Source organism: Homo sapiens, chromosome 4 (assembly GCF_000001405.40).
Source record: "Homo sapiens chromosome 4, GRCh38.p14 Primary Assembly".
Lineage (NCBI taxonomy): Eukaryota > Metazoa > Chordata > Mammalia > Primates > Hominidae > Homo > Homo sapiens.
The window spans coordinates 183,557,476-183,573,564 of NC_000004.12; the positions used below are offsets into that span (position 1 = coordinate 183,557,476).

Sequence of the window (16,089 nt, forward strand, 5' to 3'; positions counted from 1 at the left end):
GAATTACACCACTGGCTTTCCCTGTTCTCCAGTTTGTAGACAGTGGCATATGGGATTTCTCACCCTCCATAATGGTGTGAGCCAATTCCTAGACGAAATCATATATATGTATCTATCTCTATATATCATATCTATATCCATATATCCTATCTCTATATATCCTATCTATATATATGATCTATCTATCTATCTATCTATCTATCTATCTATCTATCTATCTATCTATGTTTCTCTGAAGAGCCCTGATTAATACACCTGCTTTGGCAAGGACCCTTGCTCTGCCCCCTATCGCAGCCTGTCCCGGATCAGGGCTGCTTCTCTGGTGGAGGTCCCAGATTGAGAAGACACCAGAACAGACCTGCCGCCCACCGGCGGTCTGGAGCAGAAGCACAGTCCCGGGCTGACTGTGGTAGACTCACATGTAACACAAGCAAGACATACACATGGTTTTTATTGTAAGCAACTGACATTTTTGTACCTGTTTGTTACTGAAGCAAAGCTGATAACTTAGAGAAGTAAATCAAAATTCTTAAGTGGAAACAACCAGCAAAATACTTTTAAATATGAACCATTAAACCAAATTCCAATAGAAGTAACAGGGAATTTATTGAAGAGAGACAACATTCTTTTTGATTGCTGGAAAGAATAGAATCTTCAATTAAACAAATTAGTAAGCAAATCCATGCCACGTAGTAGATTACACTATTACTCCCAATTATTTGTTGCCTTTACTATGGAAAATTATACTTGCACACATCATTTACATGAGGCTTGGCCATGTGACTTGCTTTGATGAGTAAAATGTGAATAGAATTGCTGTATGCGGCTGGACACGGTGACTCAGGCCTGTAATCCCAGCACTTTGGGAGGCTGAGGTGGGCGGATCACCTGAGATCGGGAGTTCAAGACCAGCCTGGTCAACATGTTGAAACCCCATATCTACAAAAATGCAAAAATTAACCGGCATGATGGCGGGTGCCTATAATCCCAGCTACTCGGGTGGCTGAGGCAGGAGAATCGCTTGAAACTGGGAGGCAGAGGTTGCAGTCAGCCGAGATCGCGCCATCGCACTCCTACAGCCTGGGCGACAGAGCAAGACTCTGTCTAAAAAAAAAAAAAAAAAAAAAAAGGATTGATGTATGCCACTTCTAAACAAAAACTTTAAGTAGGATAATTTGAGCAGAAAAGGTTTCCAGGAAGTGGAGACGCAGCAAGGGATGGAAAGTGCTCAGTGATATGCACCTCGCTTTGTTGAACTTCTCAAGGGTCGGCGTCACCAGAAAGAGGCCCTCTGGTTAGCCATCTAGGGGCCTCATAGTAGGATTCCTTTATGGTATTCTTCTCTTAGATGTGCACATTCAGAAACTTCATCTCATTAGTATGACATACTGATTAGGTACACGGAGAAAGAGGCTCATGCTAATAGAATTCACTAGAGGCCAGGGTATCAATGGGATCATCGGTGTTTTACTCTGTGAACTGCAATTTCCTTTCCAGCACTGAACTGTTCCTTTCCGGGTCCTCCGCGGTACAGAGAGCACGTATTCCTCTCTAACAAGGTATCCAGGAAGCCGATGATAAAATCTCGCATAAAAGATAAGGGAGACAGCATCCCAGCCTTGTAAAGCCGGAACACTGCCTGTGTTTCAGGGAAACCATTTGATGTGTATCCGTCAGTCACCAAACTTTCTGCTGCACGGAGCTAAATCATCTCCCAGTTCTGCTCCTCAGACCCTGCCCTTTTCTGCGCTTCACTGTTAAACATTCTCCCTTCTCACTGACTCTTTAGGTGAGTTTAGAGCAGTCATTGGTTTTTCAATCACACATTTGCTCTTTTAGCTTCTGGCAGATCTTTTGATTCCCAATTCAGAGACAGAGTGGAAGAAGCATGGATTCTGGAGCGAGACACATCTGGGTCCAGATCCAGCCTGTACCACTCACTAGCTGTATGTTTCTTAGTCATTCTGAGCCTTGTATCTTCTACTATAAAAAAAAAGGGATAATCGACATCTCAGGGTTGTTGAAAGGGGAAAAAAAGAAATCAGATTCTAACCTAGCTGTCACATAACAAATGTAAGATTTTCTTATTTTCTATTGCTATGAAAACATCATGCAAAATAATCTTAAAATGGTAATAAAAATAACAACTGTAATAATACTTATTAAGCCCTACGATGTCACTAGTACTATGCTAGAAACTTTAGTCTTTCGTTACCATTCTTTGTGGAATTAAAAGTTATCCTTTAATGCCCTTTTCTTCTCCTCTCTGCTGTTCTATATAAACCTTCATTTTGTGTAGAAGCTAGAAATTTTCTGCAGCTCAGACAGCTCTTGATGCTGATGAAAACCTTCATATCCTATTCCTCTCTGGTAATTACAAAGCCTCTTATCTGCACAAGTGGATTCTTTCTGAAGCATCATTTCCATTATCCCTCTGCTCTGATTAAGAGTTCACAATGGTTCTTTAGCATATATCGGATTGAGAGATTAACCCCTAACTCCCCAGTCCCTGGTCAGCCTTCCAACCAGTTTTCTAGGAGAGGCACCTTTCCCGTCTAACTTTCCACCCTGCCTGTGCCCATGGCTCACTACTGGTTCCCTTTATGCAAACTCGGTTTATGCTTTTCCTCTCCTGGAACAATAATTCTTTCCCTATTTCCAGTCATCTAAATCCTACACTTCTTTTAAGATGAAATTTGAAGTCCACAAAACCTTCTAAGACTAACCAAACCTCAAATCTCTATAATTAATTTTTGTTTTGCTTTGAAAAAAATTGTTTTTTCAGGTAAACAGGACATATGCCCTCAGCTACTGCAGGTTAATACCTCAAAGACAAGGATATTGTATTCCATTACTTTGACGTTTTCCTCCATCTCTAGGCCTAGCCAGGCCTACGGGAAAGAGTAGGTGCTTAATACTTGGTGAAATGAATCACTGTTATAATGATCACTATGCCACGAAACCGGCCACTACAAACACTTCGTGGACCCCCGAAGATTTCACCTCAGTCTGTGAAGAAACATTTGCTTAATTGATATATACTATACATAGGGTTAATTTTGTTTTAAAATTCATGCATTTTTCAAAAGTCAGCTTACTCAAGAAGAGTCCAGGAATTTGCAATTAAAGCTACGTAAGGATGATTAAAATGTGGGTAGTAGGCTGGGCCAGGTGGCTTATACCTGTAAAACCAGCATTTTGGGAGGCTGAAGTGGGTGGATCACCTGAGGTCAGGAGTTCAAGACCAGCCTGACCAATATGGTGACACCCCATCTTTACTAAAAATACCAAATTAGCCAGGCGTGGTGGTGGGTGCCTGTAATCCCAGCTACTTGGGAGGCTGAGGCAGGGGAATCGCTTGAACCCAGTAGGTGGAGGTTGCAGTGAGTAGAGATCGTGCCATTGTACTCCACCCTGGGGGACAAGAGCAAAGCGAAACTCTGTCTCAAAAAGAAAAAGTCAAAAAAAAAAAAGTATATATGGGTAGTTGGCTGGGTGCAGTGGCTCACGCCTGTAATCCCAGCACTTTGGGAGGCCGAGGCAGGTGGATCACCTGAGGTCAGGAGTTCGAGACCAGCCTGGCCAATATGGTGAAACCCTGTCTCTACTAAAAATACAAAAATTAGCCAGACATGGTGGTGCGCACCTGTAATCCCAATTACTCTGGAGGCTAAGGCAGGAGAATTGCTTGAACCCGGAAGGCGGAGGTTGCAGTGAGCCGAGATTGCATGTTTGCACTCCAGCCTGGGCGGCAGGGTGAGACTCTGTCTCAAAAATAAAAATAAAAATATAAAAAGTGGATAGTTAAAGAAGAACCATGTAATGAAGGAGGGAGATAATTGTACAGTTTAGTCTCCAGGTGGGTGGAAGGTTTACCTTTCCGAGTGTGAACTTTTCTGTCTTTTGGAACTTAAAATAATTGCATATGAATATGATCATGCACAAAATGAGAATGACATCCAAGCAAGGTGTTTTTCAGTAACCTCTACCATTGTTCTTTGTATCTTAAAAAAGCAATACATTATATGGCTTGTTTGTTAATTGAAATATAAGCAAGAAGAAAGCAAGCCAGATGCAGTGGCTCATGCCTGTAATCCCAGCTCTTTGGGAGGCCAAGGCGAGCGGATCACCTGAGGTCAGGAGTTCGAGACCAGCCTGGCCGACATGGTGAAGCTGTGTCTCTACTAAGGGTACAAAAATTAGCCGGGGGTGGTAGTGGGCACCTGTAATCCCAGCTACTTGGGAGGCTGAGGCAGGAGAATTACGACATTGCACTCCAGCCTGGGTGACAAGAGCAAAACTCCGTCTCAAGGGAAAAAAAAAAAAAAAGAAGTACAAAGCACATAATCACTTAACATACCTTCTTCTGTGTGCCAACTTAGATAAATGGAGGCAACAGTAGTTAATGAACATCTGGAAGAGGCTGAGGAAAAAAAAAAAACAGTGGCAGTCTGGAATTTTCCTGGAGCTCATTGTGGGACAAAACCAAGCAGCATGAATAAAATCTTCATCATTCACACACTTCTGTGATTTTACAGCATGGCAGGGACAGACACACAAGTGTGTGTGGCCTGAGTGCTTCTTGAACTCAAGGATTCCTGTGCCAGGATCCGTAGCTGAGCCCAACATTTCGCTGTGACTTCATGGCAGTCAAAGAGGGATGATGATTTATGTGTCTGTTGTTATCTGACATTTTAAGAAGTCACCAGTTCTTTAGGAGATGAATTCGTTCTCCAGTATAAAAGTGTAAGAGAAGCTGATCCCGGGATACTGAAAAGCTAAGGCAGGGTAAGTCTTCAATGGAAATTTCAAAAACATATGGCCTCTCTTGTGGAGAGACAGGAACATACGGTTCCAAGAGAATTCTGTAAAATATTTTCACAGGGAGCTAAAGTGACTTAATCTATATCACTTTCTGATATAGCAATATTAAAAGGTCATGAGGAAAATGTAGGTGGGTTATTTTATTTTATTTTTGAGACAGGGTCTTGCTCTGTCTCCCAGGCTAGAGTGCAATGGCACGATCTCAGCTCACTGCAGCCTCCACCTCCTGGGCTCAAGCAACCCTCTCACCTCAATGTCCCGAGCAGCTGGGACTGCAGGCATGCACCAGGATGTCTGCCTAATTTTTTTTTTTTTTTTTTTGTAGAGATAGGGGTCTCACTATGTTGCCCATGTTGATCTTGAACTCTGGCTCAAATGATCCCCCCACCTCAGCCTCCCAAAGTGCTGGGATTACAGACATAAACCATGGTGCCAAGTCTGTTTTTATTTTTTTCGTTTTTAATTGTTTTCTTAGTCCAGGTTCCAGGCTTATTGTTTTTATTTTTTAAAGATGAAAACAGTGAAAGTATGGCTCAAAACAGTTTCAGGAAGTCAAGTTAACAAAGCCATTAAAACTTTTTCTAATCTTTTCCTTTGTTCTGTTTTGGTTTATTTGTCGATTAAAAAGTAACTTACTGATGTGACATTTTGTTACTGTAAATAAGTTCATATTTTTCAAACACTAAATTCTTCCATGGTGTTTGCTGCTAGATATGAGCTAGTTGTCTATTCCTGCACTGCTATTTGCCTCAGTGAATCCCAGCACTTTGGGAGGCCCAGGCAGGAGGATCACAAGGTCAGGAGTTCAAGACCAGCCTGGCCAACACAGTGAAATCCCGTCTCTACTAAAAATACAAAAAATTAGCCAGGCCTGGTGGCGGGTGCCTGTAATCCCAGCTACTTGGGAGGCTGAAGCAGGACCTGAACCTGGGAGGTGGAGGTTGCAGTGAGCAGAGATCGTGCCACTGCACTCCAGCCTGGGCAACAATGCAAGACTCCGTCTCAAACACACACACAAACACACAAACACACACACACACACACACACACAAGCTCTCCCAGGCTTCAGCTGAGGGGCGCACTGGGAGATGACGGCCTGTCTGGGCCAAACTGTTTCTGTAATTTGTCTTCCTTTCCTCCTCGGGCTTCACGTTCCCAGTGAGACCCTCTCTGTTGCTTTGCCTCTACTGCGTCCAGTCTGGGCCACAGGAATGCGCTATTCCGCTTTGAACTTGAACCCAAGCCTGGCCAAAACTATCTTTTTTTGGCTCCCCTGAGCATTCATTGCCTTCACTCATTTGGCGACAGTTAATGCAGCATCTTTGCTTGGTCCTCTCCTGGGTCCTGAGCAGCAGGGATGAATGAGGCAGACAAAATTCTTTCCCTAAAGGAGCTGTCCCTTTAGTGGGAGAAGACAGAATAAACACATACAGAGGAAAAAGAGCTATTGTTAGTCATTAATACCAATAAGACACTGTTCAGTGTTTCCAAGAGCTTGCATACATCAAGGGAGAATAAGAAGTAATTATAGAAGACACAAATAACAAGGTATTTACGCATGTTACCAAGCACAGGTTGTTCATTTTAAAATGACTAAGCTCTAGCTTCAGAGTGGGCACTTTGCCCCCAACCTCTTTCTACTAAGCAATCTCAGCCACCTTGCTGTGGAGCTCTCAATAGCTGTTCTAATTCTTGTCTTGTCTCCTAGACTCAACATTTTTCTGTTTTCAAACGTCATTGCCAAGAAGCCCTCAATTTCAAATGAGTCACTGACCCAGTAAATTACCTAATGCGTCTACAGCTCCACCCACCTTCGCAGTCTCAGAATGCTCAAGTGGAAAACGTTGCTTGGGGCAGGTGACTCCTTAGGACTTGGAAATGAGGGAAATGTGGTTGCTTCCACCATAAAATCGGAAATTCCAAGGGGGCACAATAGAGATGTGCCAATCTGGGGAAAGACTCTTAGGCTGGTTAAAGGCCCTAATAACCTAATAGAAGATGTTGGCTTATCTAAATTATGTGTCACTGTAATATGGGGGTTGGTTGGCAAAAAAGGACCAAAATAGTAGAGTCTGAAAGGCTGGGGCTGGTGGTGCCCTTGTGGACAGGGTGCAGGGGCTTCACTGGCAGGTGTACCCACCAACTATAGAAATGAAGAAATTGGGCAGTTAGAGCCATATGTTACTAAACATTCAAATGATAACTTCCCTTTCTCTGAATCTATGCTCATCAAGAAATATTATGTGATTGACTTTCCAAATCTTCAGGGAAAATAAGGTAGGTCTTATGAATTCTGGGCCCACTTGTCAGTTTTATTTCTTATGGAAACAAATATATTGGAATTTCCATTACTAGAATTCAATGTCTTATCAGCATTTTCCCCAAATCTGATCAATTTTCTTTTTTTTTTTTTTTTTGAGAAAAGGTCTCGTTCTGTCACCCAGGCTGGAGTGCAGTGGCATGATCTCAGCTCACTGCAACCTCTGCCTCCCGGGCTCAAGCAATCCTCCCACCTTAGCTTCCTGAGTAGCTGGGACCACACGTGCACACCACCATGCCCAGGTAACTTTTGTATTTTTTTTAAAGAAAGGGTTTCGCCATGTAGCCCAGGCTTGTCTTGAACTCCTGGGCTCAAGGGATCCGCCCACCTCATCCTTCCAAGGTGGTTCAATGACAAGGTGTGAGCCATCGCGCCTGGCCCGCGTTTCATTTTCTAAGTCCCAAAAAGCTGTGGGCTGCATTAGGAATTCGTTTGATCATTCATTCATTCAATTGAATATTTTCAGAAACTTGTTACAGCCCAACCGCTGTGCTTAGGAGTATAGCACTGAGCAGAACAGACTGACCCTGACAACCGATTGCTCTAACCTGTCTTCCCTTTCCTCCTTGGGCTTCACTTTCCCAGTGAGACTTTCTCTGTTACCTTGCCTCTATCACCTCCAATCTGGGGCACAGCAACACGCTATTCTGCTTTGAACTCAAGCCCAAGCCTGGCCAAAACTGTCTTTCTTTGGCTCCCCTGAGCATTTGTTGCCTTCACTCATTTGGCCAAGTTAACGCAGCATCTTTGCTGGGTCCTCTCCTGGGTCCTGAGCAGCAAGGATGAATGAAACAGACAAAATTCTTCCCCTAAAGGAGCTGTCCCTTTAGTGGGAGAAGGCAGAATAAACACATACACAGGAAAGAGAGCTACTGTTAGTCCTTATTAGATAGTCACAATATTTGAACCTTCAAGCTCATTTGTGCTTTCACGCAAATAGGTGCAATAAAGTGTGACAAGGATTTCTTTTTCTTTTTTCTTTTCTTTCTTTCTTTTTTTGAGATGGAGTCTCACTCTGTTGCCTGGGCTGGAGTGCAGTGGCATGATCTCAGCTCACTGCAACCTCTGCCTCCCGGGTTCAAGCCATTCTCTTGCCTCAGCCTCCCAAGTAGGTGGGATTACAGGTGCCCTCCACTACGCCCAGCTAATTTTTTGTATTTTTAATAGAGACGGGGTTTCATCATGTTGGCCCGGCTGGTCTCAAACTCCTGACCTCGTGATTTGCCCGCCTCGGCCTCACAGAGTGCTGGGAGCCACCGCGCCCGGCCGACAAGGGTTTCTTGACTTTGATGTTTGAAGGAAGGAAAAGGTGGGGTCTAGAAGAAACAGCTGGGTTCAGGAAGGCTTTCTGGAGTAAACAGTATCTAAACAGCAACCTGCTTTAGGAGTTTGCCCAGTGAATAGGGTAGAAAGAAGAGAAGAGAATGGAGGAAATGAGGGAAGGAGGAGAGCAGGGTGAGATGAAAGCATCCCAGAGAAGTCCAGGCAGGCAGGCACCTAAGTGCTAGGGAAAGTGAGACAGAGGGCAGGCGAGGGGCCTTGCGGCCAAGGTTCTAGAAGTTTGGGCTCTATTCTCAGAGCAGTCCAGAGCCACTGCACAGCTTAGCGTGAACTAGCATGATCAGATTTGCATCTGGGACAAATCTCTGGCTGTGCAGCTGCTGAATTAGGGAGGAGTGGAGGGCCGGCATGGGCAGAGAGGCAGGTGTGATCTGTGTGAGCGACGATGGTGGCCCTAGGCAGAAACAGGGATTGAGAGAGAGGTGAAAGAATTTGAAAGACGTTTCAGAGGCGGAACTGAGAGGACTTGTGGATGGATCAGTATGGATAAGTATGGATGGGTGTGAGGGAGATGGAAGAATGCAGGAAGATTTCTGGGCTGCTGCCTCAGGCCACTGAGTGGGTGGAAAGGGAACGTCCTGACTTGGATCCTGGTCTTCTATTTAGACTTTTCTTGAGCATACACAAAAGGAGAGGCTGGACACAGCGGCTCACGCCTATAATCCCGGCACTTTGGGAGGCTGAGGCAGGTGGATGCTTGAGCCCAGGAGTTAGAGGCTGCTGTGATCATGCCACTGCATTCTATCTAGCCTGGGCGACAGAGCAAGACCCTGTCCCTTTAAAAAGAAAAAGGAGAGAGATGTGCTTATATGAAGAGAAAGGTCATCTCCCACAAGAGTACACAGAGCAAAGAGAAAAGCTGAAGATGGAAATGACCGGCACATTTTAGGACTCTCCTAAACTTCGTCAGTGAAGAAACTGCTATACTATTTCGAATGGAACACCTGGAGAAAGATCACCAGCTGCTTCCCCACCACCAGCTCCTCAGGACTCCAGGAGACAGAAACCTAATAGCAAGAGATCAAATAATAAACATTGGTGCAATTAAAATATTTTCTTTCATTTCTGTCTTTGTTTCTCTTTATATTCATATTCCTCCCAGAATGGTTGTCTTCAAAATTCATTATCTTCCTTCTTTGTTATTTCATTGAATTTCTTACTGTATCAGCCTGTATTAGTCAGGGTTCTCCAGAGAAACAGAGCCTGTAGGAGATATACAGGTATATAAGAGGAGACCTATCATGGGAAATTACTTACATGATTATGGAGGTCAAAAAGTTAAACAGGCCAGGCGCGGTGGCTTACGTCTGTAATCCCAGCACTTTGAGAGGCCGGCGGGGGGGTGGATCATCTGGGGTCAGGAGTTCGAGACCAGCCTGACCAACATGGTGAAACCCTGTCTCTACTAAAAATACAAAAATTAGGTGGGCGTGGTGGCAGGCACCTGTAATCCCAGCTACTCAGGAGGCTGAGGCAGGAGAATCGCTTGAACCCGGGAGGTGGAGGTCGCAGTGAGCCATCACACCATTGCATGCCAGCCTGGGCGACAAGAGCAAAACTCCGTCTCAAAAAAAAAAAAAAAAAAAAGTTTGATAATCTGCTGTCTGTAAACTGGAGACCAGGAAAGCCCGTGGTGTAATTCCCAGTTTGAGGCCAAAGGCGTGAGAACCAGAGGGCCACTGGTGTAAGTCCGAAAGCCCAGGAATGATGAGCTCCAATATCCAAGAGAAGGAGAAGATGGATGTTCCAGCTCCAGGAAAGAGAGAATTCACCCTTCCTCTGCCTTTTGTTCCATTCAGGCTCCCAGCAGATGGGATGATGCCCACCTCTGTTAGCGAGCGGGATCTTCTTTACTCAGTCCACCAATTCAAATGCCAACCTCTTTGCAGAAGAGAAATGTCCTCGCAGACACACCCAGAAACAAGATTTCACTAGCTACCTGGGCATCCATTACCCTAGACCAGTCAACACATGAAATTAACCGTCACGCAGCCTTCGGTTGGTCTCACACAGTCCGTTACAAGACTACATGGATACTTTGCTTTTGGGCACTCAAGCTCTTGAGTTTATCTAACATTCTGAACTTGGGCCGGGCGTGGTGGCTCACGCCTGTAATCCCAGCACTTTGGGAGGCTGAGGCAGGCAGATCACGAGGTCAGGAGATCGAGACCATCCTGGCCAACATGGTGAAACCCCGTCTCTACTAAAATACAAAAAATTAGCCGGGCGTGGTGGTGTGCGCCTGTAGTCCCAGCTATGTGGGAGGCTGAGGCAGGAGAATCGCTTGAACCTGGGAGGCAGAGGTTGCAGTGAGCCGAGATCCTGCTACTGCACTTCAGGCTGGAGACAGAGCAAGACTCCATCTAAAAAAAAAAAAAAAAAAAAATTATGAGTCTGATTTTGAATACTGTCTATCTCCTTAATTGCCCATGAAGTATTGGGCAATTAATACTCCCTTATTCCCCATGAATTATTGAATTCTGCACACTTTTAGCTAACCCTTCCAGCAGCCCACCTTGCAAAGGCCGCTATGTTAATGCTGCAGTTTTTTCTGTGTACCCTTATCAGCATTCCAAATACTCGTACTAGATATTAGTATTTTGGAGGGGGTGGGTTCATGGATTAACTGGCTTCAGCCAGTCTAGTACATTTTAATTGTAAAGAAAAAAATAATTAGATTCAGTTATGTTAACTTTTCTCTTGGATTTGAATTCGATGTTCAAGCATGATGAAAGGAAAATATAGATGATAAAATATATGTAGGAAAATTATCATGATGTCCATATTAAAAGTAACCATCAAGAAAGATTCTGGAATTATTTAATAAGCTTTTGGCAGTCTTTCCATTAGGCCTGTGAAAAGAGGCGTTTATAAATGAATAATCACCAATCTTCAATGGACTCCCAGCTCTGCCTGGAAGTCTTAATATATTTCTCTGGTTCACTCCCTTTCTTTCTCTATTGGACAACAGTTCTGAAACTTTCCTGCTTTCCTCAAACCTCTAATCCTTTTACCTCCCTTCTCACCCTTAGCTTCTTAGGGTAAAATGAAGCCAACAGCCAAGAACTCTCTCGATTTCTTTTAAATTAATGGCAAAAATCTCAATTACTTTTGCACCAACCTGGCACTTGCACCTAGTCTCTCTGTGCTTTCTGTTACATTAGGAGATGTTCTTTCTTCCTGACCTGTGGGAGGTCTTCCTGACCGCTTTTGCAGTTATCTCTTCGCTCCTCTGTGGCTTCAAACTATCCCTTTCAACTGATTCTTTCCATGGCATCCTCATGTCCCTCTCATCTTAAACCTAACAAAACCAAAAACTATGCCATGATTTGCACTCCCTCCAGCAACCTCCACCTTTCTCTTCTCTCCTTTATGACTAAATTTAGTGAAAGCTGTGTATAGATTTATGATTTTTATCTCCTCACTTCTCATTGCCCAATCCACTCCCATCACACCAGTGTAGTTTACGGCGGGATCTCCAGTGCTCTCAACATCATTCCACACTCACTTTACCTAATCTCTAAACAGCATTTAGCACATCATCAACTTATTTTCCTTCTTGAGACATTCATCCTTTTACCATTAAATATCAGAATTACCTAATGCTTTGTCCGAAGCTCTGTTCTCCTTCTATACTTTTCTTTTTTTTTTGAGACAAAGTCTCACTCTGTCACCCAGGCTGGAGTGCAGTGGCGCAATCTCCGCTCACTGCAAGCTCTGCCTCCCGGGTTCAAGCGATTCTCATGCCTCAGCCTCCCGAGTAGTTGGGATTACAGGCGCCCACCACCATGCAGGGCTAATTTTTGTATTTTAGTAGAGATGCAGTTTCACCATGTTGGCCAGACTGGTCTCAAACTTCTGACCTCAGGTGATCCACCTGCCTCGGCCTCCCAAAGTGCTGGGATTACAGGCATGAGCCATTGTGCCCGGCCAATACTCTTCTTGAGATTTCTAGATCTCCATTCATCTGAGCTCTGCTGATAGATTCAATCATTATCCATATGACAACTTCCAAATTAACATTGCTAGCCCAAGCTTCTATTCTCAACTCCACATCTTCTCCACTTGGATGTCTCAGAAGTTTCTTGTAGCCAGGTGCAGGGGCTCATGCCTCTAATCCCAGCATTTGAGAGGCTGAGGTGAGCAGATCACTTGAGTCCAAGAGTTCAAGGGCAGCCTGGGCAACATAGCAAGACCCCATCTCTACAATAGATATTTAATACAAAGACAAAGTTGCTCAAGCTCAACATGTTCAGGATTGAATTTGTTGTCTTCTAGCTAAAAACTGGTCCACTTCGATGGTTCCCTATCTCAGGGAATGGAACCACCATGCAGGTCACAAGCAGGACCCTCGCTGTTGTCTCCAACTATTGCCTGTCTTCACCTTCCACACTCAGTACAACACAATTCTACTGCTTTAACCTCCTAAATAGGTCTTAAATTTTTCTCCACGTTCACACTCTAGTCTAAACAACTTCTAAGGATCTTCAGTGAAACCAGGTAGCCCTTGGATTTTTTGAGGTCCCCCTCCCTTCTACCCTCATATTTAACTAGTACCAGTGGTGATGGATTTCCATAGGATCTAATAATGAACCGTGGGATAACAATAAAATGATTACCTAATACATTGTGAGCCAAATAAAAATTTGTAAACCTACAGTATCTAAATTCTTACATTATTTGTGGTTGGTTTCTACTTAAATTGTATTCTGGATGAGGCTGACATTTGAAAAAAAATTCGGTGTGCAATTGACAACAATTAATTATTTAACGGCAAGTGATGAGGATCGTAAAAGATTAAAATAGCCTGAAAATAGTACACAGAGCAGATATTTTAAAAGGGCATGCACGGGCCAGGCGCAGTGGCTCACGCCTGTAATCCTAGCACTTTGGGAGGCCGAGGCGGGCGGATCACGAGGTCAGGAGATCGAGACCATCCTGGCTAATACAGTGAAACCCCGTCTCTACTAAAAATACAAAAAACTAGCCCAGCGTGGTGTCGGGCGCCTGTAGTCCCAGCTACTCCGGAGGCTGAGGCAGGAGAATGGCGTGAACCCGGGAGGTGGAGCTTGCAGTGAGCCGAGATCGCGCCCCTGCACTCCAGCCTGGGCGACAGAGTGAGACTCCGTCTCAAAGATAAATAAATAAATAAAAAGGACACGCATGAAACAACAAAAGGTGATTGCAAAATCCTATTTTACATAAATTCAATTTAAAGCTAAGAGAAAAATAAATACTAAATAAAAAACATTTCAGAGGAAAACCTCTCATGAAGCCAGGTCGAATGAGAAAGTCTGTTTATTCAAAGGTTCCTCATCAAGCGACACGCTCACCCTCTACAAGGAGCACACACACATGGTCTTTTCATATCTCAAAGTGCTCTCCTGGAGAGAGGCCACCAAAGGTATAGGAGGAGTTTCAACATGACAAAACTCTCTCTTCCAGAAGTACAGCCTGAGCTCTTCACTCTCACAAACAGCGGCCACTCATGAGTCACCATGGCAACAGCCTCTGTAATGGTTAGTGCATGCCTCTTAGAAAACGATGTCGCTCAAGGTCAAAGTCTGCATTTGTGAAAAAGTCTCACTGTGTTCCCCTGCACAGACTTGTCATTGAACAGCAGCCAAAACTTGAGGCTCCTCAACCTTGAGGCTGTCGGCCAAGTGGCCCTGCTAGCTTCCCTCCCCTGAGTCCTGCCAGCACTTCCTGTTTCTGTTCCTCCTACCTTGGAACACCTGGGTTCCTCCCTTTCCTGGAAAGCATGCTGCTGGGGACAGAGTTGGGATGCATAGCCGGGAAACTCTTCCACTTAGTCTATACATCATTGAGCATGCAGTGCTGGGGGCTCCTGCTGTAAGCCTCCGTTGTGAACAAAGTCTTGGGAGGAGCCCTGCTTCCCCGGGACGGGAGCAAACCTACCAAGCATGAGCTGAGGAGAAGCCACCTCCTGGGCGTTCTTCCAGGTCATCTCCTATGGCCGGGGTCTCTAAACGTGTTTGACTGCACATCCCTATCAGCACAAAATTTTTGAGTATGTACTCCCAATATATTTACTTATAAATTATATATAATTATATGCTGAAATCTATATACTACATTTTTGTAAAGCTTAATACTTTTTTCTCTTTTTTTTCTTTTTGAGACAGGATCTCATTCTGTTGCCCAGGCTGGAGTGCAACGGCTGGATCACAGCTCACTGCAGCCTCGACCTCCCATGCTCAAGTGATCCTTCTGCCTCAGTCTCCCAAGTAGCTGGAACTGCAGGCGCCCATCACCACCCCGGGCTAATTTTTGTATTTTTTGCAGTAACGGGGTTTCACCATGTTGCCCAGGCTGATCTTGAGCTCTAGGACTCAAGTGTTCTGGCCACCTCGGCCTCCCAAATTGCTGAGATTACAGGCATGCACCCAGCCAATACTTTCCTTTCTTTTCTGGTAAATTAGTACATCTCCTATATTCTTCCCACCTTCAACAGACTGCTTTGCACACCTCATGGGTTGCTCACATTGCACTTTGAGGATCTTTGCTATTTACTTTCACAAGGCTCAATGTTCTAAAATAGTTCTAAAATACAGATCTCTCCCTGCTTATAACTCTTCAGTGGCACCTCATTGCTCTCAGGATAAAGTTTAGACTCTTTAACATGGACTTCCTGTGGGTTGAAAATCAGTCTGACTCTGATCTCACCACTTTACCAGCCCACAGTTTAAAACTCTAGTACTTGCATTCTTTCTAGGTCATACGTTTTCTCCCATCCAAGACTTTGCACAGACTATAGAAATCCTTTCTCCCCACACAGTCTTTCCCCCTGACTCTTATTTTTAGGAAATTCCCTGGAATTCTTCCTCTACCTCCTACCTCATTAGGATGAAGACCCCACCATGTTTCTCCAACACAGCAGGCTTTATTCTTTATGCAATACACATTATAGTCTATTGCAATTGTAAATTTAGTATTGAGCTTGCTAAAGGTTGGGATGGCTTTTTAAATTAAATGGCCTGGGTTTAGCGAGGTTAAAAAGGTGAAGAATTTCCTGATTTGAGATGGCATGCCACACAGCCCAGAGCTTGTGTCTCTTTCCTTACCAAGGAGATACCAGCTCTGGTTCTGGGAAATGAGCAGAATGGGGTGTTCCTCTCCTTCTCCCTGTCTTCTTTCTTCCCATGGTATCTAGGCCAGATCGTGGTCTAGTGGCAGAGTTTTTTGGATTTGCTGGTATGATTCATGGTAAGAAATGAATTTTATAACAGACTCAGTACACACATAGACATATACACATGCAGGTGCGCACACACACACATACATATACACACACATACGTTACACATGTATTAGTGTGTTCTCACATTGCCATAAAGAGATACCTGATACTGGGTAATTTATAAAGGAAAGAGGTTTAATTGGCTCACCGTTCTACAGGCTGTACAGGAAGCATAGCAGCTTCAGCTTTTGGGGAGGCCTCAGGAAACTTACAATCATAGTGGAAGGCAAATGGGGGAGCAGGAACATCTTACATGGCTGGAGAAGGAGGAAGAGGGAGAGGGAGGAGGTACTACACACTTTTAAACAACCAGATCTCACGATAACTCACTCACTCACTGTTG

General features: G+C 44.3%; 1 long non-coding RNA gene across 4 annotated transcripts; it reads right to left on the reverse strand.

The window, feature by feature from the left end:
* Nucleotides 1-1,108: 1,108 nt before the first annotated feature.
* Nucleotides 1,109-9,835, reverse strand: LOC105377580 (uncharacterized). 4 transcript variants are annotated; one of them, XR_001741940.2, is made up of 3 exons: nucleotides 9,743-9,835; nucleotides 4,361-4,423; nucleotides 1,109-3,009 (listed from the first exon to the last, which is right to left on the reverse strand). It is a non-coding gene; the product is annotated as an uncharacterized LOC105377580 (long non-coding RNA). The 4 variants fall into 4 exon arrangements; XR_001741941.2 differs by lacking the exon at nucleotides 9,743-9,835 and having other exon boundaries at nucleotides 1,109-1,983; nucleotides 2,826-3,009; nucleotides 4,361-5,023; XR_939543.3 differs by lacking the exon at nucleotides 9,743-9,835 and having other exon boundaries at nucleotides 1,109-1,983; nucleotides 4,361-5,023.
* Nucleotides 9,836-16,089: the final 6,254 nt, after the last annotated feature.